This window comes from Homo sapiens, chromosome 7, assembly GCF_000001405.40.
Source record: "Homo sapiens chromosome 7, GRCh38.p14 Primary Assembly".
NCBI lineage: Eukaryota > Metazoa > Chordata > Mammalia > Primates > Hominidae > Homo > Homo sapiens.
The window spans coordinates 5,120,767-5,147,803 of record NC_000007.14 but is presented as its reverse complement, the minus strand read 5'-3'; the positions used below and the strand labels follow the sequence as shown (position 1 = coordinate 5,147,803).

The following is a 27,037-nucleotide window of genomic DNA, read 5'->3' as shown; positions in this document are numbered from 1 at the left end:
AGTGCAATGGTGCTATCTCGGCTCCCTGCAACCTTTGTCTGCTGGGTTCACGCAATTCTCCTGCCTCAGCCTCCTGAGCAGCTGGGATTACAGGCCTACACCATCACACCTGGCTAATTTTGTGTATTTTTAGTAGAGCCAGGGTTTCACCATGTTAGCCATGATGATCTCGAACTCCTGTCCTCGTGATCTGCCTGCCTCGGCCTCCTAAAGTGCTGGGATTACAGGCATGAGCCACTGCGCCCGGCCTAGTGTTGATAATTCTCTCTAGAACCACACGGTAGAAACCACAGGTAGAATCTACCACAAGTTAGAAATCTATGTAGTTGAATGTGCAAAGGACTCCAATTACTGATGTCCAAACTTGATCCAGGAAACCAGATACAAAACCTTTTACAAAGAGACAAAATATTTTTGTAGAAACAAAAGGAAAAGCCAGCTGGGCGGCTGGGTGTGGCGTCTTATGCCTTTAATCCCAGCACTTGGGGAGGCTAAGATGGGAGGATCCCTTGAGCTCAGGAATTCAAGACTAGCTTGGGCAACATAGACCACATCTCTACAAAAATTAACAGAATTAGCTGGGCATGGCAGCATGTGCCTGTGGCCCAAGCTCCTCAGGAGGCTGAGGTGAGAGGATTTCTTGAGCCTTGGAGGTCGAGGCTGCAGATCGCACTACTGCATTCCAAGCTGTCTCAGAAAAACAAACAAACAAAAAAACCAACAAGCGATCCCATGTTATAAAATAAAAGGATTGTTTTTCTCCCACTCAAAAAGAGCATGATTAGCTGGGCATGGTGGCATATGCCTGTAGTTCCAGCTACTCAGGAGGCTGAGGTGGGCGGATCACCTGAGCCTGGGGAGGTTGAGGCTGCAGTGAGCCGTGATCATGCCACTGCCCTCCAGCCCGGGCAACAGAGTGAAACCCTGGCTCAAAACAACAAACCATAGGCCGGATCTAAGAGTAAATTTTAAAAAGTCTCAGTGGCTGTGTCCAGTAATTCAAAATAGATTGATATGAAGCTTACTGTTTAAACATATTAAAAACTGAAATCATTGGATAATTTTCAAATAAAATCACATGGAGACATTCAGTGTCCCCCTCCATGATATATGAAACCATAAGGAATATCAATTTTAGACAAATATTATGCTTGTTTGAACTCTACAGACAATTCCATTAACATTGTAAAACAGGAATTCTAATTTACTAAGTTAAATAAACTAGGATATCTCAAAGTTTTAAACATTACTAACTTCAAAGGTAGAAATGGTCAAGCATACAAAAAGCATCATTTTAAACTTTATTAAACTTCTTTTACTCTCACTTTGTAAGTTTTGGATAAATTTATTTTTTAAGTTATTTGGTGATGGAGTCTCGCTCTTTCATTCAGGCTGCAGTGCAATGGTGTGATCTTGGCTCACTGCAACCTTCGCCTCCTGGATTCAAGTGATTCTTCTGCCTCAGCCTCCCGAGTAGCTGGGATTACAGACACTCGCCACTGCATCCGGCTAATTTTTGTATTTTTAGTAGAGACAGGGTTTCACCACATTGGCTAGGCTGGTCTCGAACTCCAGACCTCGTGATCTGCCTGCCTCAGCCTCCCAAAGTACTGGGATTACAGATGTAAGCCACCGCACCCGGCCTTTTTTTTTTTTTGAGATGGGCTCGTGTTCTGTCGCCCAGGCTGGAATGCAATAGTACGATCTCTACTCACTGCAACCTCCACTCCCGGGTTCAAGCAATTCTCCTGTCTCAGCCTCCTGAGTAGATAGGATTACAGGTGCCACCACGCCCGGCTAATTTTTGTATTTTTAGAAGAGACGAGACTTAGCCATGTTGGCCTCAAACTCCTGACCTCAAGTGATCCACTTGCCTTGGCTTCCCAAAGTGCTGGGATTACAGGCGTGAGCCACTGTGCCTGGCCTACAGATAAAATTTTTTTAAAAAAAGAGATGGAGGTCTCACTGTTTCCCAGGCTGGAGTGCAGCAGTGCAATCCTGGCTCACTGCAGCCTTGACTTCTGACCTCAACTGAGCCTCCCGCCTCAGCCTCCCAAGTAGCTGGGATTACACGAGCAAGCCACCACGCCCGGGTCCCAGACATCATTTTTATGCAGGGGTTCCTCCAAGGTAAATATTGAGATGGGCTACCTCTGATTCCTCGCCTATGAAATGAAAGTAATGACATCTATTTTGGGGACTATCATGAGGACTGAAGGATAGGCCTTAATATAAAAATAAAGTTTTTAGCCAGGCACTGTGGCTCACGCCTGTAATCCCAGCAGGAGGATTCATTGAGCCCAGGAGTTAAAGTCTAGCCTGGGCAACATAGGGAGACCCTATCTTTACAAAATAAGAAATAAAAAAATTAGCCAGCATGGTGGTGCGGGCCTGCAGTTTCAGCTACTGGGGAAGCTGATGGGGGAGGATCACTTGAGCCCAGGAGTTGGAGCCTGCAGTGAGCTCTGATCGTGCAGCTGCACTCCAGCCTGGGTGACAGAGCCAGAGCATAGTCTTAAAAAATTCTTGGCCAGGCATGGTGGCTCACACCTGTAATCCCAGCAATTGGGAGGCCCAGGTGGGTGGATCACCTGAGGTCAGGAGTTCGAGACCAGTCTGGCCAATATGGTGAAACCCCATCTCTATTAAAAATACAAAAAATTAGCTGGGCATGGTGGTGGGTGCCTGTAATCCCAGCTACTAGGGAGGCCGAGGCAGGAGAACCGCTTGAACCTGGGAGGCAGAGGTTGCAGTGGGCCAAGATCATGCCACTGCACTCCAGCCTGGGCGACGAGCAAAACTCTATCTCTAAATAAATAAATATTTTTATGATCTCCCCAGGTAACAGACTCTCTAGGAAGGAGGCCCAGTGCCAGTCCCAGGTGGGACTTCGAGTTCGGGCCAGCCATATCCCGCCCCACAGGATGGAACAGGGCTTGGGGCAGATCAGATCAGACACGTGGGGCCCATGAGGGCCACCCTTGGCCATGGGGGACATGTAAGAGGGCGCATTCACCCCCAGCTCTGTGTCAGCCAGAGCCATAGCGCCACACCCTGCCAGCCCATGGCCACCTCCCATGTGACTGCAGCCATGGCTGTGGCTGGAAGTGCAGGGTGGCCTAACCGGAATCATGGCATCGTGGGGGGGTTCTGGGAGTTGTAGTCCCAGGGGGTTCTTTTACGCAGTGTTTTGAGGTGCAAGACTGCAATGCGCGCACTTCCGGACCCCAGGCTGTTCCCATGGCGACTGACACCTCAGACACGTGTGGGAGGAACGGCGTCTTGGCTCCCGGGCTGTGCGCAGCGCCAGCGTGGCCGGCACCCACTTGCTGCAGAGCCGGCACTGCACTGGGGTCCTGGGGGCGGCTCCTCCAGACGTCTCCGCGGGTTGTCGGGTGCTGCCAAGTTGGGCTGGGGGACGCCACAGGTAGTGGTGGGTCCCGAGCAGCGGCTGGCCCCTCATCTCACTGCCCCTCCCCGCAGCTCTGCCTCCTCGGACCCCACCGTCCCCTGGAAGCTCGCGCAGGGCACCTGCCACTGTGACCACTTGGACGCGGGTGAGCTGGGGGCTTGTTCTCTGCACAGGGGACCCCGCTCTTCCCCAAGAGTGGGTTTGTTGCCGTCCCTTCCCCTGGAGCTTCTCTGCCCATCCAGGCCCCTGATCTCCACTGCACTGCGGTGCCTGGGTCTCTAGGGGGAAGAGTGGGGCTGTTGGGGAAAGTCCCCGTCTCTTGCAGAGGGTAACCCCCTTCTTCCTCTCCAACCTGGCTCATGCAGAACCCTGATCACAGCCAGTGGTGGGCACTGAGCTAGGAGGGAAACGAAGGCAGGGTGTGGAGGGGGGTTATTTCAGGCGTCTGGGCTCATTCAAAACATCTACTGAGTGCCTGGGTCCGATCTGGGGGAGCACGGAGCTGGGGTCCCTCGTTGGATGCAGTCCTACAGAGGTGTTGGTCACGTTAACATGTGGGGGCGATCCAGGGGTAGGCGCCCTGTTAGTTACCTCAACTGTCAGGATGCATGGACACCCAGGGGAGGGAGGATCAGTTTCAACTGGGGAAGGTCAACTGACTTCAGGTCAGACTTAAAGAAAAATAAGATGTTGCAGATGAAAGGACAATAGGGTCTTTGAGGACCAGGGAGGAGCATCCCTAAGGAGTAATGATGGGTGATACTGAGGACTCGGCACAGGGGGGGCGCCCCGTGAGGCTGGGGGCGGGGTGGGGGCCTGACCAGCAAGGTCCGAGGCTGGGGTCTCCCTCTTGCTCCAGCTGCAAATGCAGTACTTCAAGGCAGAGGCATGATCATATTTGGGTGTTGGTCAAAGTACCCCTGCAGGAAGTAGAGTTATGAGGGTTGGACTGAGGGTGTGAGAAAATTGAGTAGGGAGACGGGAGACGCCAGACTAAGGCGGGACAGTGCCAGCACCTCTGTTGGAGACTGGCGGAGAAGGAGGCGGCTGCGCCAGTTCCGTGTAGACTGTTCTTTTCTAGCCCTTGGTGAAGAAAGGTGAGCAACACTCGGGGTGGTGTGATGTGATGGAGTTGGCGGAGGATGTCTGTCTGATGCTTTTTTTAAGATGAAACTCACTTGATTTGGGGAGAGAATGAAACTGGTACTATGGTTTTAAATCTTGATAAGAGCAAATGTTTTTATGGTGGTTTTTCTATCACACTTGCGCTTGGGTCTTACTGAAAGAGGTTTTTCTTTTCCTTTTTTTTTCTTTTTTTTTGAGACTGAGTCTCACTCTGTCGCCCAGGCTGGAGTGCAGTGGCACAATCTCAGCTCACTGCAACCTCCAACTCCCCGGTTCAAGCGATTCTCCTGCCTCAGCCTCCTAAATAGCTGGGATTACAGGCGGGCACCCCCACGCCAGGCTGATTTTTGTATTTTTAGTAGAGATGGGGTTTCATCATGTTGGTCAGGCTGGTCTCGAACTCCTGACCTCGTGATCCGCCCGCCTTGGCCTCCCAAAGTGCTGGGATTACAGGCATGAGCCATCACGCCAGGCTTAGAGTAATCTTACAATTATAAAACTCGACCATGGCCGGGTGCTGTGGCTCACTCCTGTAATCCCAGCACTTTGGGAGGCCAAGGCAGGTGTATCATTTGAGGTCAGGAGTTGGATACCGGCCTGGCCAATGTGGTAAAACCCCGTGTCTACTAAAAATACCCCCCCAAAAAAATTAGCTGGGCAGTAGTGGCACACGCCTGTAATCCCAGCTACTCAAGAGGCTGAGGCAAGAGAATCGCTTGAGCCTGGGAGGCGGAGGTTGCAGTGAGCCAAGATCATGCTGCTTCACTCTCGTCTGGGCGACAGAGTGACACCCTATCTCAAAAAAAAAAAAAAAAAAAAAAAAAAAATCAAACCTCGACCGTATCTGAAATTGTCTTTTTCATGCCTTCTCTTGCTCAATTGTGCCTGGATTCTGGTCGATTTTATTAATCTTAAATACAAACCAATTATTTTATTAGTTTTAATAAAACCTTTCCAAGAATTGATTTAAGTTTTTTCTTTTTAACTTATTGTAGTCCTAATATATGTATTAAATAAAAAGAATGAAACTTAATGACATTCAGCTCAGGTGGTTAGCATATAAAAAGGAATAGGGCACATCCACTCCCATTTGTCCAGTCTGTGTCTCCCAGAAAAAGATATTTAAAAAAGAGAAAAGCCAGGCATGGTGGCTCATGCCTGCAATCCCAGCACTTTGGGAGGCCGAGGCGGGCGGATCACGAGGTCAGGAGATCGAGACCATCCTGGCTAACACGATGAAACCCCGTCTCTACTAAAAATACAAAAAATCAGCCAGGTGCGGTGGTGGGCGCCTCTAGTCCCAGCTTCGCGGGAGGCTGAGGCAGGACAATGGCGTGAACCTGGGAGGCGGAGCTTGTGGTAAGCAGAGATTGCGCCACCGCACTCCACCCTGGGCGACAGAGCGCAACTCAGTCTCAAAAAAAAGAAAAGAAAAGAGAAAAAGCGCAAACCCCCAAAGCTAAAAGCATATGAGGAGAAATTAAAAGGAAGAGAGGAACATTTACTCTGTTTTATGGAATAAAGTGTTTTCCCACTTAAAACAAAAAAATAGAGCAAGTTAAAACAAAAAAATTTCTGCCACAAATGTATCACCTGAATCAAATCATGAGACATTAAACCTAAATTGAGTATTTTTTTTTTTTTTTTGAGACAGTCTTGCTCTGTTGCCCAGGCTGGAGTGCAGTGGCACTATCTCAGTTCACTGCAACCTCTGCCCCCCGCGTTCAAGTGATTCTCCTGCCTCAGCCTCCCCAGTAGCTGGGATTACGGGCACCCACCACCACACCTGGCTAATTTTTGTAGTTTCAGTAGAGATGGTTTCACCATCAAGACCAGCCAGGCTGGTCTTGAACTGCTAATCTTAGGTGATCCACCTGCCTTGGCCTCCCAAAGTGCTGGGATTATAGGCGTGAGCCACCACACCTGGCCTTTTTTATTTTCTAATAGAGACAGGGGTCTTGCTATGTTGCCCAGTTTGGCCTTGAACTCCTGGGCTCAAGGGATCCTCTTGCCTTGGCCTCCCTGAGTGCTGGGATTATAGGTGTAAGCCACCATGCCTGGCCCCAGTTGTTTTATTTTGTTACAAATCTTTTTTTTTTTGAGCTGTCGCCCAGGCTGGAGCACAGTGGCGCCGTGATCTCGGCTCACTGCCAGCTCTGCCTCCCGGGTTTACGCCATTCTCCTGCCTCAGCCTACTGAGTAGTTTGGGACTGCAGGCACCCGCCACCACGCCTGGCTAATTTTTTGTATTTTTAGTAGAGACAGGGTTTCACCGTGTTAGCTAGCATGATGGTCTTGATCTCCTGACCTCGTGATCCACCCGCCTTGGCCTTCCAAAGTGCTGGGATTACAGGCGTGACCCACCACGCCTGGCCTGTTTTATTTTTTAATAGAGACGGGTCTCGCTATGTTTCCCAGGCTGGCCTTGAACTCCTGGGCTCAAGGGATCCTCTCGCCTTGGCCTCCCTGAGTGCTGGGATTACAGGTGTGAGGCACCATGCCTGGCCCCAGTTGTTTGAATCATAGCCCAAGTACATGCAGATTTGTAGTGATTTAGAGATCTCTTGGTGTGCATACCTGGGAAACTGTACCCAACATCTGCCGGCCATGTATAAGACAAACCATGTGGCTATTAAGACCCCAAGGCTAGCTGGGAGCGGTGGCTCATGCCTTTAACCCCAGCATATTGGGAGGCTGAGGCAAGCGGATCACCTGAGGTCAGGAGTTGAAGACCAGCCTGGCCAACATGGGGAAACCCTGTCTCTACAAAAATTAGCTAGGCATAATGGCAGGGGCCTGTAATCCCAGCTACTCGGGAGGCTGAGGCAGGAGAATCGCTTGAACCCGGGAGGTGGAGGTTGGAGATCGTGCCATTGCACTCCAGACTGGGTGACAGAGTAAGATTCCATATCAAAACAACAACAACAAAAGGACCCTAAGGCTCTCAGAGATACCCAGGAGCTGGCCCTGTGCCCTCTCCTGGGTAATGGCCCCCATGCCACAGCCCTGGGACGGCCTCTGGTGTGAGGGCCTTCCTGCCTGCACAAAGCCTCGCCCAGGTGCTGTCGTGTTTACTCTGCCACCTTGTGGTGGGACCTTTTTCATCAGCCGCCTGCGCAAATGTGGTAAAATGTTAATATTTGGGAGATCTAGATGAGAAGGGTATTTGGAAATTCTTTGTACTATTCTTGAGACTTTCCTTTGAGTCTCAAGTCACTCAAGTAAAAAGTTAAAAAGCTAAAATCACTTACTGGGGCCGGGCGTGGTGGCTCATGCCTGTAATCCCAGCACTTTGGGAGGCCGAGGCAGGTGGATCACAAGGTCAGGATATCGAGACCATCCTGGCTAACACGGTGAAACCCCGTCTCTACTAAAAATACAAAAAATTAGCCGGGCGTGGTGGTGGGCGCCTGTAGTCCCAGCTACTCGGGGGGCTGAGGCAGGAGAATGGCGTGAACCCGGGAGGCGGAGCTTGCAGTGAGCCGAGATTGTGCCACTGCACTTCAGCCTGGGCAAGAGAGCGAGACTCCGTCTCAAAAAATAAATAAATAAATAAATAAATAAATAAAATAAAATCACTTATTGGAAAGGATTTGTTAAACCTCCCCCCTCCAAAAAAAAATTTGATTTGTATTTAAAACTAATAAATTAGACAAACTTCAGTCTGCACTGATGAAGGGAGAATAGAAATAAGCTATTTATTTTTTTATTTTTTATTCTTTGAGATGGAGTCTCACTCTATCACCCAGGCTGGAGTGCAGTGGCACGATCTCGGCTCACTGCAAGGTCCACCTCCTGGGTTCATGCCATTCTCCTGCCCCAGCCTCCCGAGTAGCTGGGACTACAGGCACCTGCCACCACGCCCGGCTAATTTTTTGTATTTTTAGCAGAGACGGGGTTTCACCGTGTTAGCCACGATGGTCTCGATCTCCTGACCTTGTGATCTGCCCGTGTCGGCCTCCCAAAGTGCTGGGATTACAGGTGTGAGCCACTGTGCCTGGCCAAAATAAGCTATTTTTAGAATGGAAGATGAGATGATTTCAGATACAGTAGATTTATTTTTATTTTTATTTATTTTTATTTTTTGAGATGGAGTTTGCTCTGTTACCCAGGCTGGGGTGCAGTAGTGCGATCTTGGCTCCACCGCAACCTCCATCTCCCTGGTTCAAGCAATTCCCCTGCCTCAGCCTCTGGAGTAGCTGCGATTACAGGCACACGCCACCATGCCCGGCTAATTTTTTTGTATTTTTAGTAGACATGGGGTTTCACTATGTTGGCCAGACTGGTCTCGAACTCCTGACCTCAGGCAATCTGCCCTCTTCAGCCTCCCAAAGTGCTGAGATTACAGGCGTAAGCCACCGTGCCTGGCCTTCTTTTTTTTTTTTTTTTTTTTTTTTGAGATGGAGTTTCCCTCTGTCGCCCAGGCTGGAGTGCAGTGGCATGATCTTGGCTCACTGCAACCTCAACCTCCTGGGTTGAAGCAATTCTCCTGCCTCAGCCTCCCTGAGTAGCTGGGACTACAGGCATGTGCCACCATGTCCAGCTAATTTTTTTTTTTGTAGTTTTAGTAGAGACGAGGTTTTACCATGTTGACCAGGCTGGTCTCGAACTCTTCACCTGAGGTGATCCACCTGCCTTGGCCTCCCAAAGTGCTGGGATTACAGGCATCAGCCACCGTGCCTGGCCAGTAGATTTTTAAAAAATGAGATGTTACTATAAATCATTTAATGGCATAACTCTGAAATTAAGTAAGACACATTTGTAGAAAATTGTAAATTGCTAAAATTGACTGACATATAGAAAACCTGAATAAACCACTTATACACATTGCAAAAGTCTTGAAGACAGTTTTATAAAATTCCTGAAAAACATATAGGCCTCGTGTTTCTTTGGGAATATTTTTGAGTATGGATTCATTTCATATTTGGTGATTTAATTTTTTTTTGCATTCTTTTTATTTTCTAATTGTATTGTTTTTTGAGTCAGTGGGATCTATGCAATATATGTATTTTTCTTTTCTTTTCTTTTCTTTTCTTTTTTTTTTTTTGAGACAGTCTTGCTCTGTCGCCCAGGCTGGAGTGCAGTGGTGCGATTTCGGCTTACTGCAAACTCTGCCTCCTGGGTTCACGCCATTCTCCTACCTCAGCCTCCTGAGTAGCTGGGGCTACAGGCGCCTGCCACCATACCCAGCTGATTTTTTTGTATTTTTAGTAGAGACAGGGTTTCACTGTGCTAACCAGGATGGTCTTGATCTCCTGACCTCATGATCCGCCCACCTCAGCCTCTCGAAGTGCTGGGATTACAGGCGTGAGCCACCGTGCCTGGCTGCAATATATATATTTTTCTTTTGGTATTCAGGTTTGCTCTTTATGCTTGCCATTTTTTTTTTTTTTTTTTGAGATGGAGTTTCACTCTGTCACCCAGGGTGGAGTACAGCAGTGCAATCCCGGCTCACTGCAACCTCTGCCTTCTGGGTTCAAGTGATTGTCATGCCTCAGCCTCCCAGGTAGCTGGGATTACAGGCGCCCACCACCATGCCTGGCTAATTTTTGTATTTTTAGTAGAGACAGGGTTTCGCGATGTTAGCCAGGCTGGTTTTGAACTCCTGACCTCAAGTGATCCACTTGCCTTGGCCTCCCAAAGTGCTGGGATTACTGGCGTGAGCCACTGTGCCTGGCCTGTAGTAATTTTCTATTGTTGTATGACAGATTGCCACTCATTTGGTGACTAAAACCACACCCACTTACTAACACAGAGTTTGGGAGGTCAGAAATCCTGGTGGCCTCACCTATGGGTTCCACGCTCCAGGTAGCATCAGGCTCTGAGAAAGGCGTGGGCTGGGCTGGGCTTTTAGCCAGAGGTTCTGGGAAGAATCTGCTTGTCAGTGCATTCGGGGTTTGCAGAATTCTGTCTTAAGACTTAGGTCCCCGATTCCTTGCTGGCTGTCAGCTGGGGGCCATGCTCAGCTCCCGAAGCCCACCAGCTTGCTTTCCAATGGGATCTCCTTTTTTTTTTGAGACAGAATCTCACTCTGTCACCCAGGCTGGAGTGCAGTGGTGCGAGCTTAGCTCACTGCAACCTCTGCGTCCCGCGTTCCAGTGATTCTCCTGCCTCAGCCTCCCTAGTAGCTGGGATTACAGGCGTGCGCCACCACACCTGGCTAATTTTTGTATTTTTAGTACAGACAGGGTTTCACCATATTGGCCAGGCTGGTCTCCAACTGCTAACCTCAGGCGACGCACCCACCTCGGCCTCCCAAAGTGCTGGGATTAGAGGCGTGAGCCACCGTGCCCAGCCGGTCCCTCCATTTTCAAAGCCAGAAACAGAGCATGGACTCTGTCTCGTGTTCTAGGCTTTCTGACTTTCCCTTCTGCCACAGATTGGTTTCTCTCTATCAGCGGTAAAGGTAACCCTGCCAATGTCTTCTTTTCCCCCTGTAGAGGTGGGGTGTTTGTTGACTAGGCTGGTCTCGAACTCCTGGCCTCAAGCAATTGTCCTGCCTCAGGCTCCCAAAGTACTGAGATGACAGGTGTGCTAATATTTTCATGTGAGCCTCCCTGCGTCATTTTAATTTCAGGTTTTCCTGGTGTCTTTGCAAAAGCTCAGGATCGGACTTTGTCAGCAAGGTGGGTCCCTCCTCTCAGCATAGCAAGCTTGTTTCTACCCTGGTCCCGAGAACCTCAGAGGCTGAAGCTTGAGTCCCCACCTGAAGGTAAGTTCTCAGTAGGGGAGCAGAGCCTTGGCAGCCAAGTGGAGTTGCCCAAGTGTTCGAGACCCAGGCATGCTGGGAGTAAAAGCATTCCTGTGAAGAACTTGACAACGGGGAGCAGGAATCTACTTTGGAAAGCGAGACCCCAGTTCTGAGACCTCTTCACATAGCTTAGGGCTGAAGCCGGAGGGTCACGTGGAGGGTGGCAGCTCCCAAGGTCCATGTACCTGGGGCTGGGCATGGTGGCTCATGCCTGTAATCCCAGCACTTTGGGAGGCTGAGGCGGGCAGATCACCTGAGGTCAGGAGTTTGAGACCAACTTGGCTAACATGGCAAAACCCTGTCTCTACTAAAAATACTAACATTACCTGGGTGTGGTAGTGGGTGCCTATAATCCCAGCTACTCGGGAGGCTGAGGCTGGAGAATCGCTTGAACCCAGGAGGCAAAGGTTGCAGTGAGCCAAGATCGCACCACTGCACTCCAGCCTGGGCAAGAAGAGCAAAACTCCATAAAAAAACCCAAGGTCCATGTGCCTGAAATGGTCCCAGCCCGCTGGGGGACAGAGCAAACATGGGTTTGCTGGGTGGTCACGTTGAGGGATCATCTAGGTTTCAGTTGAGTGGAAGGTTTGCTAGGAGGAGAAAGAGGCTCTTGCTTTAGGGAGTACAAGTTTGTGGGCTCAGGGCCAGAGCATGTCCCTGGTGCTCAGAGGACAAGCCCGGACCACACTGTCCCTGGATCCTACACTATAGTCAAGCCATAGAATTTGCTTTCTTTGGGGTGGGGGTTGCGGGGGGAGCCAATCTTTTTTTTTTTTTTTTTTTAAAGTGACTGATCTCGGCATTCTGCAACCTCCGCCTCCTGGGTTCAAGCGATTCTCTTGCTTCCACCTCCCGAGTAGCTGGGATTACAGGCGCCCACTACCACACCCGGCTAATTTTTGTATTTTTGGTAAAGATGGGGTTTTGCCATGTTGGCCAGGCTGGCCTCAAACTCCTGACCTCAGGTGATCCACCTGCCTCAGCCTCCCAAAGTGTTGGGATTACAGGCGTGAGCCACCACGCCTGGCCAGAGTTTGCTTTCTTAACCTGAGTTTTTTGTTTCTCCTTCTCACGTCAAAGACTAAACAAAATGGGTGTGAGAGAGACATTCAGAACCGCCACGCACAGTAGAGGGTGAGCCAGTACTCACACCCAGGGCCCCCGAGCACCAGACAGGCTCTTCTTCCACTGTTCCACAATCATGGCTAAGACTTGGCCCGTCCCACCTTCTCTGCCTTCAGCCCTCCCCATGGCTTCCCTTTCACCAGGGGAAGGACTTTGATAGGAGCCCATGGGGAGAAAACCCAGTAAAATGCATGTATATTGTTATGAAATATTTACATGTGAAACAGCACCAATTTCTTGTTGAAGAAATTAGAAAATATCAATATGTTAAGAAAAAAATCCGCCCAGTGAGGCGGCTCATGCCTGTAATACCAGCAACTTTGGGTGGCTGAGGCAGGAGGATCACTTGAGCCCCTAGGAGTTCGAGACCAGCCTGGGCAACATGGTGAAACCCTGTCTCCACAAAAAATACAAAAATTAGCCAGGCATGGTAGTATGTGTCGTAGTCCCAGCTACTTGGGAGGCTGAGGCCGGAGGATCAATTGAGCCCGGGAGGCAGAGGTTGCAGTGAGCTGTGAATGTGCCACTGCACTCCAGCCTGGGCGACAGAGCGAGACCCTATCTGAAGAGAAAACACCAAAACAAAACCAACCAAACAAAAGTCCTACCATGCAAAGATAATCATTGTTAATATTCTGTGTCTTTTCTTCAGAATCTTTTTTATTTTATTTTTTGAGATGGGGTTTTTCTTTGTTGCCCGGGCTGGAGTGCAGTGGCTCGATCTTGGCTCACTGCAACTTCCGCCTCCCTGGTTCAAGTGATTCTCCTGCCTCGGCCTCCCAAGTAGCTGGGATTACTGGCGCCCGCCACCATGCCCGGCTAATTTTGTATTTTTAGTAGAGATGGGGTTTCACCATGTTGGTCAGGCTGGTCTCGAACTCCTGACCTCAAGTGATCCACCCGCCTCCGCCTCCCAAAGTGCTGGGATTACAGGCTTGAGCCACTGTGCCTGGCCCAGAATTTTTTGTTTATAGATGTATGTTTACAAACTTATTACATGTGCTGTAGTTTGTAGTTGATGTATACAAACAAGAAACAGGCCAGGCACAGTGATGCATGCTTGTAATCCCAGCACTTTGGGAGGCCAAGGCGGGAGGATCACTTGAGGCCAGGAGTTCGAGACCAGCCTGAGCAACATAGCGGGACCCTGACTCTACAAAAAGCATATATATATGTTTTGGTTTTTTAGACGGAGTCTCACTCTGTTGCCCAGGCTGGAGAACAGTAGTACGATCACAGCTCACTGCCACCTCCACCTCAGAGGCTCAAGCGATTCTCCTGCCTCAGCCTCCCAAGTAGCTGGGATTACAGGGGTGAAACACCGCGCCTGGCCTCTACAAAAAATAAAAATAGGCCGGGCATGGTGGCTTACGCCTGTAATCCCAGCACTTTGGGAGGCTGAGGTGGGTGGATCACCTGAGGTCAGGAGTTGGAGACCAGCCTGGCCAACATGGTGAAACCCCATCTCTAGTAAAAATACAAAAAATTAGCCAGGCTTGCTGGTGTGTGCCTGTAATCCCAGATATGTGGGAGGCTGAGGCATGAGAATCACTTGAACCCAGGAGGCACAGGTCGCAGGAAGCCGAGATTACGCCACTGCACTCCAGTCTGGGCAACAGCAAGACCCTATCCCCTCAAAAAAGTTTTCTTATAATTTTTTGAGGGGGATGGAGTCTTGCTGTGTCGCCCAGGCTGGAGTGCAGTGGTATGGTGCAATCTTGGCTCCCTGCAACCTCTGCCTCCCAAGTTCAAGAGATTCTCCTGCCTCAGCCTCTTGAGTAGCTGGGATTACAGGCACATGCCACCACACCCGGCTGATATTTGTATTTTTAGTAGAGATGGGGTTTCACCATATTGGCCAAGCTGATCTTGAACTCCTGACCTCAGGTGATGCACCTGCCTCGGCCTCCCAAAGTGTGGTGATTACAGGCGTGAGCCTCTGTGTCCGGCCTGTTTCTTCAGAATAAATTTCTAGTAATTACATTTTTGGGTAATGGGTGGGGATTGTAGTAAATTGCACATTGGTTACTGAGACACAGATGCACATACTCATTAAGAAAAACTTCAGTCAGTCGTGGTGGTTCACCCCTGTAATCCCAAGGTTTTGGGAGGCTGAGGCAGGCAGATTGCTTGAACCCAGGAGTTTGAGACCAGCCTGGGCAATACAGTGAGACCCTGTCTCTACCAAAAAATTTAAAAATTAGCTGGGCATGGCTGGGCGCAGTGACTTACGCTTGTAATCCCAGCACTTTGGGAGGCCGAGGAGGGCAGATCACGAGGTCAGGAGATCGAGACCATCCTGGCTAACACGGTGAAACCCCGTCTCTACTAAAAATACAAAAAATTATTCAAGCATGGTGGTGCACGCTTGTAGTACCAGCTACTCGGGAGGCTGAGGCAGGAGAATGGCGTGAACCCGGGAGGCGGAGCTTGCAGTGAGCCGAGATAGCGTCACTGCAGTCCGGCCTGGGCGAAAGAGCAAGACTCTTGTCTCAAAAAAAAAAAAAAAAAAATATATATATATATATATATATATTAGCTGGGCATGTGACACACCTATAGTCCCAGCTTCTCTGGAGGCTGGGGTGGGAGGATCGCTGGAACCTGGGAGTCCAGGGCTGCATTGAGTCGTGATTGCATCACTGTGTTCCAGCCTGGGCGACAGAGTGAAACCCCATTTCAAAAAACAAAACAAAAATCCAAGTAAGGCCTCACAAGATTGAGTCTCTATGACATTTGTAAGGTGAGGGCTTTGCTTTGATAATGGGGACCCTTCAGAGGAGGTTTTCTCCCACCTGCGCCTGGGAGAGGGCGGGGGTGGTCCCAGCAGTTGATTGGGAGCCCAAGGGCAAGCGTGGCCTCTCATATCCTCTCTCCCCACCCTGATGTCTGCCTTCACAGGTGTCTGCTTTTCCAGAATAGAGAAGAAGAACTATGGCCCAGGTGAGTGTGGCATTTCTTTCTACTGCCCTTTTTAGCAGGGATTTCGGATGCTCATAAGAACATGACTGATAAAGGCTGGGCGTGGTGGCTCACGCTGGTAATCCCAGCACTGTGGGAGGCCAAAGTAGGCGGATCACCTGAGGTCAGGAGTTCAAGACCAGCCTGGCCAACATGGTGAAACCCTGTCTCTACTAAAAATACAAAATTAGACAGGTGTGGTGGCACGAGCCTGTAATCCCAGCTACTCAGGAGGCTGAGGCAGGGGAATCACTTGAACCCAGGAGGTAGAGGTTGCAGTGAGCTGAGATCGTGCCATTGCACTGCAGCCTGGGTGACAGAGTGAGACTCTGTCTTAAAAAAAAAAAAAAAAGGGTATCCGATAAAACAAAATACAAACGGAAATCAGGATCGGTGAAAACAGGAAGAGAATGGAAGATCAAGGTTGTGGGAAGGGCAGGGTGGAGAGACTGTAGAGGCTGCCGCAGTTATGAGATGCCTTATAAATTTTTTTTTTTTTTGAGACGGAGTCTTGCTCTGTCACCCAGGCTGGAATACAGTGGCATAATCTTGGCTCACTGCAACCTCTGCCTCCTGGGTTCAAGCGATTCTCCTGCCTCAGCCTCCTTACAGGCACTTGCCACCACACACAGCTAATTTTTGTATTTTTAGTGAAGACAGGGTTTCACCACGTTGGCCAGGCTGGTCTCGAACTCCTGGCCTCAAGTGATCCGCGCACTTCGGCCTCCCAAAGTACTGGGATTACAGGCATGAGCCACCATGCCCAGCCCGATGCCTTGTAAATTTATATCTGACATTTCTGTCACTTTAAAAACGCAGGCAGATTCCATCTAATGTATGACTTGTGTTGTCTGTTTTGGACAACCGTGTCTACTTCTCAGGGGAAATACAGCTCTTTAGGGCATTTAAAGATATATTTGATCTTTGTATGCAAGATGTAGCAGGCCCGTTCCTCAATAACAACCATCTTGAAAGAAACACAACAGGAAATCTCTTGTGACTTTTCTTCCTCTCTGTATAAACAGCAGATATTATGCCAAAGCAGCCGTCTGTGATTCTGGTTGTTTGGGGATGCCGAACACTCAGGTCTACAGAGACAGCCTTGTGCGGTGCCAAGTGACCTGGATGTAACACTGCATTATCTAGAGGAACGAATGAATGAACTGCGTGTTCTTGAAACAGCCTGCCATGTCTACCGCCACACCACCCTGAACGTGCCTGATCTCATCTGAAATTGCTTGCCATAATGGGTTTTTTTAATTAAAAAAAATTTTTTTGAGATGGAGTCTGGCTCTGTTGCTCAGGCTGGAGTGCAATGGCACGATCTTGGCTCACTGCAACTTCCACCTCCTGGGTTCAAGTGATTCTCCTGCCTCAGCCTCCCAAGTAGCTGGGAATATAGGCATGTGCCACCACGCCCGACTAATTTTTGTATTTTTAGAGATGGAGTTTCATCATATTAGCCAGGCTGGTCTCGAACTCCTGACCTCAGGTGATCCGCCCACTTGGCTGTTAGCTCTCTTTGCATGTGAGTGACATCAGTGTTTTCCATCAGCCTGGAAGCATTCTCCTCCTCCTGCTCTTCACCCCGGGTTCTAGGAATGTGTGAGTGTGGACTGCACTGGTTAGAAGTTCTAATCCTTGAAGTTGGAAAAGCCAGAAATCCAACTAGAAGTAGGTTAGGATTTAAAAAAAAAAAGTAATTCTAGAACTTTGGGAAGCTGAGGCAGGAGGATTGCTTGAGGCCAGGAGTTCAAGACCAGCCTGGGTAATGTGGCAAGACCCCATCTCTACAAAAAATACAAAAATTAGCCAGGCGTGGTGGCACATGCTTGTACTCCCAGCTGCACGGGAGGCTAAGGTGGGAGGATCACTTGAGCCTAGGAGGTCGAGGCTGCAATGAGCTGTGATCGTGCCTTTGGACTCCAGCCTGGGCAACAGAGGGGAGAGCCTGTCTCAAAAAAAAAAAAAAAAAAAAATCTATAAGGCAGCATGCGAGTCCTGGGAAGAGCAGGTGTGCAGTCAGGCTCCAGAGGCATCTGGCAAACCAGGTATCGCCAGGAATCTTTGTTCCCTGTTCTCTGCCTCTGTGACTTTTTCTTTTTTTTTTTTGAGATGGAGTCTCACTCTGTCACCCAAGCTGGAGTGCACTGGCGCAATCTCAGCTCACTGCAAGCTCCCCCTCCCGGGTTCACGCCATTTTCCTGCCTCAGCCTCCCCAGTAGCTGGGACTACAGGTGCCCGCCACCATGCCTGGCTAATTTTTTGTATTTTTAGTGGAGACGGGGTTTCACCATGTTAGCCAGGATGGTCTCGATCTCCTGACCTCATGTCCACCCTCCTCGGCCTCCCAAAGTGCTGGGATTACAGGCGTGAGCCACTGCACCCGGCACTTCTGTGACTTTCTTCTCATGCTGACTCTATGTGGCCAGAAATAGCGTAGCCCCAGCTCCTCTCCTCCCAGCTGCAAGTTCTGCCGCTGTGAGGGACTGAATCTCCCTTCACTGATCCAATTTTGAAAGCTTTTCGGGGAGGATTCTGTTGGTCCAGCCTAGCTCAGGTGTATTAGGCCCTCTGTCCAGGCAGCTGTGCACAGGGGCAGGAAGGGCCTGGTCCCAGAGGAAGATGAGGCCTCGTGAACATTACCACTGTCCACTCCAGGAAGGAAAACGTTCACAGAGCCTGGGTTTCTTTGTGCTTTGTGAAGCCAGGGATGTCTAGGTGTTTCACACCAGAAATGTCTCAGAGCAGTAGGAGAGGCTAGAACAAGGTGGCGAGCCACACCCGCCCTGTGGGTGAAGCTGGAGGTTTCGCTTGTTGTCTTTCTTGGAAGCCACTGTTGGTTTTTTTTTTTTTTTTTTTTTCTGAGATGGAGTCTTGCTCTGTCGCCCAGGCTGGAGTGCAGTGGCGCGATCTCGGCTCACTGCAACCTCTGCCTCCTGGGTTCATGCCATTCTCCTGCCTCAGCCTCCCGAGTAGCTGGGACTACAGGCGCCTGCCACCATGCCTGGCTAACTTTTTTGTATTTTTAGTAGAGACTGGGTTTCACTATGTTAGCCAGGATGGTCTCGATCTCCTGACCTCGTGATCTGCCCGCCTCAGCCTCCCAAAGTGCTAGGATTACAGGCATGAGCCACCGTGCCCAGCCAGAAGCCACTGTAGGAAGGCAAATCCCACTGGGAGTGACTCTGTGTTAGGGCAGTCTGTGTACTGAAGATGACAATGACCGCGTTAAACGCTGTCTGTCCAGCACTTTTGTGGTCTCTGTGCTTTTCATATGTTATTTCATGAATAAACCCATAAGAGGCATATCTATAGAAATTACATATTTACATGGAAATTATATATTTATATAGAAATTATGTATGAATAAATTACATAGAAATTACAAAGACATGAATTAACTATGTAGACATTGTATGTGTATGTATAAAAACTATGTAGACATTGTATATATATATACATGTATGTAAACTACATTGATTATATATATATATATATATATATATATATATATATGTAATGTATATACATATACTACACTACGTAGACGCCAGGCATGATAGCTCACACCTGTAATCCCAGCACTTTGGGAGGCTGAGGTAGCTGGACCACCTGAGGTCGGGAGTTCGAGACCAGCCTGGCCTCATGGTGAAACCCTGTCTCTACTAAAAATACATAAATTAGCTGGGCGTGTGCCTGTAATCCCAGCTACTTGGGCGGCTGAGGCAGGAGAATCACTTGAACCCAGGAGGCGGAGGTTGCAGTGAGCTGATATTGCACATTGCACTCCAGCCTGGGCAACACAGTGAGACCCTATCTCAAAAAAACAAGTCACTGGCTTCAGCAGCCTTTAGCCCTTGGTCATAAGTTTTCTAGAGATCAGAGTGTGGTCTGGAAGAGAACCCAGGGTCCGTAGGGTGATCAGAGCTCTGGGCTTCTTTGTGGATTGCCTCTCCCCACTCCCACATAGCTCCCGGTCCCTGCTGCTGCCCCTGGGCTGTGCCCTGCTTCCTGCCCCTCCTCTGCACGCGCTTGTCTCACCATTGGGGACACTTTGGGTCACCCATTTGCCTATGAACATCCCTCACCACTCCAGCAGCATGTGTCCGGGGGACCCACTGCAGCTCTTTCTACCCAGCATCCCCCCTTGACCTCTGCCACAGTGACGAAAGCCCCCCAACCCTCACATGCTTTTTTTTTTTTTTTTTTTTTAAGATGGAGTCTTACTCTGTTGTCTAGCCTGGAGTGCAAGGGCGGGATCTCGGCTCACTGCAACGTACGCCTCCTGGGTTGAACAAATTCTCCTGCCTGAGCCTCCCTGGTAGCTGGGATTATAGGCACCCACCAGCATATCCATCTAATATATTTTTTGTAGAGATGGGATTTGACTATGTTGGCCAGGCTGGTCTCAAACTCCTAACCTCAAGCAATCCACCCGTTTCAGCCCCTCAAAGTGCTGGGATTACAGGCGTGAGCCACTGCACCCAGTCGAGATTTTTTTTCTAATGATTATTTTTTTCTCTTCCACAAAGTGTAGTACAAAGTTAGGGGTGTGCTCAGCTTCCTATGTAACCTAATATGGGGAAAGCTGACGTCGGAAGGTTTAAGATCAATCTCCTCTACGCCTTTGCCATGGTACCCAGTGCCAACCACTCCACATTAATCAGCCATGTGCTGTTCCAGGGGTCACTGTCATTCGGGGACGTGGCTGTGGGCTTCACCCGGAAAGAGTGGCAGCAGCTGGACCTGGAGCAGAGGACCCTGTACCAGGATGTGATGCTGGAGATCTACAGCCACCTGCTCTCTGTGGGTGAGGAAGACTTCCCCGTGGTCCTCGGGTTACATGAACTCTTTTTCTTAGTTGTATAAAACTGGGAAACTGCTCACGCACTAAAAGGGCTAAGCTGGGCATGGTGGCTCATGCCTGTGATCCCAGCACTTTAGGAGGCCGAGGTGGGAGGATTGCTTGAGCTACAGGTGCAAGACCCGATCTATACAAACGAGAAATAAAAAATTAGCCAGGCATGGTGGCATGTGCCTGCAGTCCCAGCTACTTGCGAGTCTCAAATGGAAGGATCACTTGAGGCCCGAGTTCAAGACTTGCCTGGGCAACATGGCAAAACCCCATCTCTACAAAAAAATTAAAAAATTAGTTGAGGGTGGTGATGCATGCTTGTAGTCCCAGCTACTCGGGAGGCTGAGACAGGAGGACCACTTGAGTGGAGTGCAGGAGATTGAGGCTGCAGTGAGCTGTGATTGTGCCATTGCACTCCAGCCTGGGCAACAGAGCAAGACCCTGTGTGAAAAATAAAAGTGCTTGGCCTTGGGTTTCAGTGGTCAGAGTCTCGATCCCACTGGAGTCCTCGTGAAGTTATCCTGCCAAGCGAAACAGCTCTTATGTGGCTGAGACGTCCACCTTTTGTTTTGCAGGCTGAACTGTCTGCTTGCTTGGAAGGCCCAGCTGGCTCAGCACAAATCCTTTAACTGTTTCTCCCCAACAGGGTGTCAAGTCAGCAAACCAGCTGTGATCTCCAGTTTGGAGCAGGGGAAGGAGCCATGGATGGAGGAGGAAGAGATAAGGACGTGGAGCTTCCCAGGTGAGCGGGTGGCCTGCAGGGGGCCGGGGGATGAGGTTCCTGGAAGTCTGCAAAGCAGAACCCATGGATGTTGTCTTGTTTTGTTTTTTGAGATGGAGTCTCACTCAGTTGCCCAGGCTGGAGTGCAGTGGCGCGATGTCAGCTCATTGCAACCTCCACCTCCCAGGTTCAAGCCATTCTCCTGCCTCAGCCTCCTGAGTAGCAGGGATTACAGGCGCTTGCCACCATGCGTGACTTATTTTGTATTTTTAGTAGAGACTGGGTTTCACCATGTTGGTCAGGCTGGTTTCAAACTCCTGAACTCGGGTGATCCACCTGCCTTGGCCTCCCAAAGTGCTGGGATTACAAGTGTGAGCCATGGCGCCTGGCCGGATGTCCTCTTGTTTCAGGCAACTGTTCTTAAAAGCCTGGGATTTTGGCTGGGCGTGCCATTTGTTGTTTTCATCTTTTTCTTTCACTGTGAAATGCCTCAAAAACATCTTTGCTACACGTAAAATTTAGTCCCCTTTCTCTTCTTAATACCCACAAACTGGTGAAAGCTATTCCTGTCCTTTAGTGTACTTAATGACTATTTTTGAGATGGAGTCTCACTCTGTCTGCCAGACTGGAGTGTAGTGGCGTGATCTCGGCTCACTGCAACCTCTGCCTCCCGAGTAGCTGGGACTACAGGCGCGCACCACCACACCTGGCTAATTTTTGTATTTTTAGTGGAGATCCTGTTTCACCATGTTGGCCAGGATGGTCTTGATCTCCTGACCTCGTGATCCGCCCGCCTCGGCCTCCTAAAGTGCTGGGATTACAGGCGTGAGCCATTGCACCTGGCCAACTTGATGAGGTTAAATCATTGCTGTCTCTCTCCCAGCTCACCTTCGTGTGGCGTTGATTCATGCTGATCACCAAGTTTCTGCTGCAGAAAACGAAGGGGCTGGGTTATTTTCTATTAAATGCTTATTCAGGGGCCAGGCATGGTGGCTCACACCTGCAATCCCAGCACTTTGAGAGGCTGAGGCAGGCAGATCACATGGGTTTAGGAGATTGAGACCAGCCTGGCCAACAGGGTGAAACCCCATTTCTACTAAAAATACAAAAATTAGCCGGGTGTGGTGGCACGCGCCTGTAGTCTCATCTAATCGGGGACTGAGGGGAGAGGATCACGTGAGCCCAGGAGGTTGAGGCTGCAATAAGCTGTGGTTCCTCCAGCCTGGGCAACAGGCTTGACCGCATCTCAAAAAAACAAAAATCGAACATCAGCTGGCACCAGTAATGGAATCAGAAGTAATTAAACCCTCCAGGCATGGCAGCTGTCACCTGTAGTCCCAGCACTTTGGGAGGCTGAGGCTGGAGGATCGCTTGAGTCCAGGAGGTCGAGGTTGCAGTGAGCTATGATCACGCGAGACCCTGTTTCTTAAAAAAAAAAAAAAGAAAGAAAAACTTGGCTCATCTTCAAGGTTTTTTTGTAGAGATGGGGTCTCACGATGTTGCCCAGGATTGTGTTGAACTCCTGGGCTCAAGCGATCCTCCCACCCCGGCCTCTTAAGGTGCTGGGATTACAAGTGTGAGTCACTGTGCCTGGCCGATCTTAGAGGTTAATGTCAACTTTGTCTACTTCACGCATCTGGTTACTCTACTATTCAGCCTACTACATTACCTTTTATATGACTTTTAAATTCTTCTTTCAAAACCATGTAATATGGCTCCATTCTGCCTAATGGGCTGTACTCAGTATAACCCCATGGGGAGAAGAGCTGTTATTTCATTTGTCCGTGTTTCTTCGAGAAGCTCTGGGGGACACTCCTTTAATCTCTCTTTGGATCAGGACAAGGATTCTTTCTCACGTGTTTGTTCAGGACGCTGCTAATTAATTGATGATCCACACGAAAATTACTTGGGGAGCTTTAAAAATACCCCTGGATGGGTCTCACCCTAGAAATCTGATGGCGGAGATGAACAGGTGCTCTTTACCTCTCAGAAATTCAGCAGTTCCGCTGGGCGCAGTGGCTCACGCCTGTAATCCCAGCACTTTGGGAGGCTGAGGCGGGCGGATCATGAGGTCAGGAGATCGAGACCATTCTGGCTAACATGGTGAAACCCCGTCTCTACTAAAAAATAAAAAATAAAAAAAATTAGCCTGGCTTGGTGGCAGGTGCCTGTAGTCCCAGCTACTTGGGAGGCTGAGGCAGGAGAATGGTGTGAACCTGGGAGGCGGAGCTTGTAGTGAGCCAAGATCGCGCCACTGGACTCCAGTCTGGGCTACAGAGCTGAGACTCCATCTCAAAAAAAAAAAAAAAAAAAAAAAAATCAGCAGTTCAGCTCAGGAACTATTTTTTTTTTCTTTGTGTTGGAATTTCGCTCTTGTTGCCCAGGCTGGAGTGCAGTGGTGTGATCTTGGCTCACTGTAACCTCTGCCTCCCAAGTTCAAGGGATTCTCCTGCCTCAGCCTCCCGAGTACCTGGGATTACAGGCATGTGCCACCATGCCTGGCTAATTTTTTTGTATTTTTAGTAGAAACGGGGTTTCTCCATGTTGGTCAGGCTGGTCTCGAACTCCTGACCTCAGGTGATCCACCTGCCTCGGCCTCCCAAAGTGCTGGGATTACAGGTGTGAGCCACTGCGCCTGGCCAGGAACTTTTTTTTTTTTTTTTGAGAGAGTCGTTGTCTGTCGCCCAGGCTGGAGTGCAGTGGTACAGTCTTGGCTCACTGCAACCTCTGCCTCCCGGGATCAAACACTCCTCCTGCCTTAGTCTCCCAAGTAGCTGGGATTACAGGCGTGCGCCACCATGCCTGGCTAATTTTTGTATTTTTAGTAGAGATGGGGTTTCACCATGTTGACCAGGCTGGTCTCAGACTCCTGACCCTAGGTGATCTGCCCATGTTCGCTTCCCAAAGTGCTGGGATTACAGGCTTGAGCCACTGCACCCAGCCAGGAACTTCTAAATAGAGGAGTGACACCCTTGAGTCGGACATGAGCCTCACAGGTGAGGCAGCAGGTAGCATCTTTAGTTTAAAATGCAAATGAAGATACACCAGGTGTGGTGGCTCATGCCTGTAATCTCAGCATTTGGAGAGGCTGAGGCAAAAGAATCGCTTGAGGCCAGGAGTTCGAGACTAGCCTGGGCAACATAGCAAAACTCCATCTCTACAAAAAAAGAAACTAGGCATGAGCCTCCGTGCCTGGCTAATTTTTATAATCCCAGCTGATTGGGAGGCCAAGGCAGGAGGATCGCCTGAGGCCAGAAGCTCAAGACAACCCTGGGTAACATAGTGAGACCCCCGTATCTACAAAAACAATTTTAAAAACTAGCTGGACATGGTGGCATGCACCTGTAGTCCCAGCTACTTGGAAGGCTGAGGTGGGATGATCGTTGGAGCCCGGGAGTTTGAGGCTGCAATGAGCCATGATTGTACTACCATGCTTCAGCCTGGGTGACGGAGTGAGACCCTGTCACCAAAACAAAAACAAGTGGTAATACAGGCATCAGGAGACAGCAGGGAATCTGAGGCCAGGATGGCTTGTGTGTACTCTAGTATTCTTCTGTTGGACATCATAAAGATCCATAGGTCCACGTGAGAATAAGTCACTGCAGAAAATGCCGCTAGCTCTAAGATAATTCCTTTAACAATAAAGAGCTCATGGCTGGGTGCAGTGACTCAAGCCTGTAATCCCAGCACTTTGGAATGTCCAGGTAGGCAGATCACCTGAGGCCAGCCTGACCAACATGGTGAAACCCTGTCTCTACTAAAAATACAAAAAATTAGCTGGGCGTGGTGGTGGGTGCCTGTAATCCCAGCTAATTGAGAGGCTGAGGCAGGAGAATCGCTTGAACCCAGGAGGCTGAGGTTGCAGTGAGCCGAGATTGCGCCACTGCACTCCAGCCTGGCGACAGAGTGAGACTCCATCTCAACAACAACAAAAAGGACCTCATGCTTTGAGAAAATCCAGTTGGTATACAGAATGAAAGGGAGCATAGGTCGGGAGAACATGGGAAGGGTGGATAGTGAAGGCCTCTGTGTAACCTAGGCCTCAAGAAAGGGACCGGGCACTTGGTTTTACTACTTTTTGGGACAGAGTTTCACTCCATCACCCAGGCTGGAGTGCCGTGGTGTGATCATGGCTCAGTACAGCTTCAACCTCCCAGGCTCAAGCGACCTTCCCACCTCAGCCTCCTGAGTAGCTGGGATTACAGGCAATTAGGCTTAAAACCACAAAATGAATCCTCCCTTCAAGCTTTTCTGCAATAGTTTTGTGATACAGTACTCCAAGATTAACAAATTTATGGCCAGGTGCGGTGGCTCACGCCTGTAATCCCTGCACTTTGGGAGGCGGAAGCCAGCAGATCACCTGAGGTCAGGAGTTCAAGACCAGCCTGGCCAACATGGTGAAATCCTGTCTGTACTAACAATACAAAAATTAGCTGAGCATGGTGGCTGGCACCTGTAATCCCAGCTACTCAGGAGGTTGAGGCGGGAAAATCACTTGAACCTGGGAGGCAGAGGTTGCAGTGAGCCAAGATCATGCCAGTACACTCCAGCTTGGGCAATGGAGTAAGACTCCGTCTCAAAGAAAAAAAAAACCACGAGTTTGTGGTTTTGTTTTTTTTTTTTCTAGAAGAAGTTTGGCAAGTTGCTACCCAGCCAGATAGCCAACAGCAACACGAAGACCAACATTTGAGCCATACGTTTCTAGACAAGAAAGACTGGACCGGAAATGAGCTTCATGAATGTAACGAACTTGGAAAAAAACTCCATCAGAACCCAAACCTCCTTCCATCAAAACAGCAGGTCCGCACACGTGACTTGTGCAGAAAGAGTTTGATGTGTAACCTGGACTTCACTCCTAACGCCTACCTGGCGAGGAGGAGATTTCAGTGCGACGGCCACGGAAACTTCTCTATTCGAAACTTGAAACTCCACCTTCAGGAGCGAATCCACGCGGAGGTCACCAGTGTGGCAGTGCTTTAAGCTGTGACGAGGGAGTTCCTGCAGCTCAGGGAGCCAGTAGTGAGAAACCCCACGAATGCACGAAGTGTGGGAAAGCCTTGTGCTGCAGATCGGACCTCAGGGTACATCACGGGGTCCACGCGGGGGAGAAGTCCTCTGCGTGCAGTGAACGGGGGAGTGGTTTCAGGGAGAAGCTTTGCCCTGACAAACAGGGAACTCACACAAAGGAGAAACCCGCTAGAGACAGAAGTGGTAAAACGATCTTCCGGAAGACACGCCTGTGTGTCCCGGGCACAGTTCACGCCGGAGCGAAGCCTTACAAGTGTTGGGAGTGTGAGAAAACCTCCCACAAGTCGCGCCTCATCGAGCACCTTCGCTCCCACCCGGGGGAGAAGCCCTGCGGCTGCAGGGAATGCGGAAAGGCCTTTTTCCAGAAGTCACACCTCATCCTGCGTCAGAGGACTCACACGGGGGAGAAGCCCTGCGGCTGCGCGGAGTGCGGGAAAGCTGCTCCCAGGACTCCTGCCTCCTGACCCACAGGCGGACTCGCGGGGAAGAAACCGTACGAGTGCTCCGACTGCGGGAAGACCTCCCGGAAGGCGAACCTCATCCGCCACCACGGGATCCACACGAGGGAGAAGCTGCATGGGTGAAGAGACCGTGGGATCGTCACAAAGTCACATCACGAGGTCGCCGAACCTCTAGGAGGGACATCGCCAGGGAAACAGCCCTCAACCAAAACTACGACGCCACCCTAGGCAGAGGTCCCATATCGGGGTGAAATTCGGCCACTTTGGTGGCTTAAGGAAGGCATGGTCAGCTGGGCGCTGTGGCTCACGCCTGTAATCCCAGCGCTTTGGGACGCCGAGGCGAGTGGATCACCTGAGGTCAGGAGTTCAAGACCAGTCTGGCCAACATGGTGAAAGCTCGGCTCTACTAAAAGTACAAAAAATTAGCCGGGAATTGTGGCAGGCGCCTGTAATTCCAGCTACTCGGGAGGCTGAGGCAGGAGAATCGCTTGAACCCGGGAGGCGGAGATTGCAGTGAGTGGAGGTCGCACCACTGCACTCCAGCCTGGGTGACAGAGTGAGACTCAGTCTCAAAAACAAACAACAAAAAAGCATG

The 27,037-nt window shown here is 49.9% G+C and overlaps 1 pseudogene across 1 annotated transcript, besides 1 other annotated feature; it reads left to right on the top strand.

Annotated features, from left to right (window-relative positions):
- Positions 1-3,257: 3,257 nt before the first annotated feature.
- ZNF890P (zinc finger protein 890, pseudogene) lies at positions 3,258-26,494 on the top strand (annotated as a pseudogene). Its single transcript, NR_034163.1, has 6 exons — positions 3,258-3,557; positions 11,115-11,249; positions 15,315-15,356; positions 20,061-20,187; positions 20,879-20,974; positions 25,581-26,494. The product of NR_034163.1 is annotated as a zinc finger protein 890, pseudogene (transcript).
- Positions 3,711-3,770: an enhancer, noted in NCBI's record as "active region_25570". NCBI's record gives its function as "activates an Ori minimal core promoter by ATAC-STARR-seq in GM12878 lymphoblastoid cells {active_cell/tissue: GM12878}" and the evidence as "EXISTENCE:reporter gene assay evidence [ECO:0000049][PMID:35858748]".
- Positions 26,495-27,037: the final 543 nt, after the last annotated feature.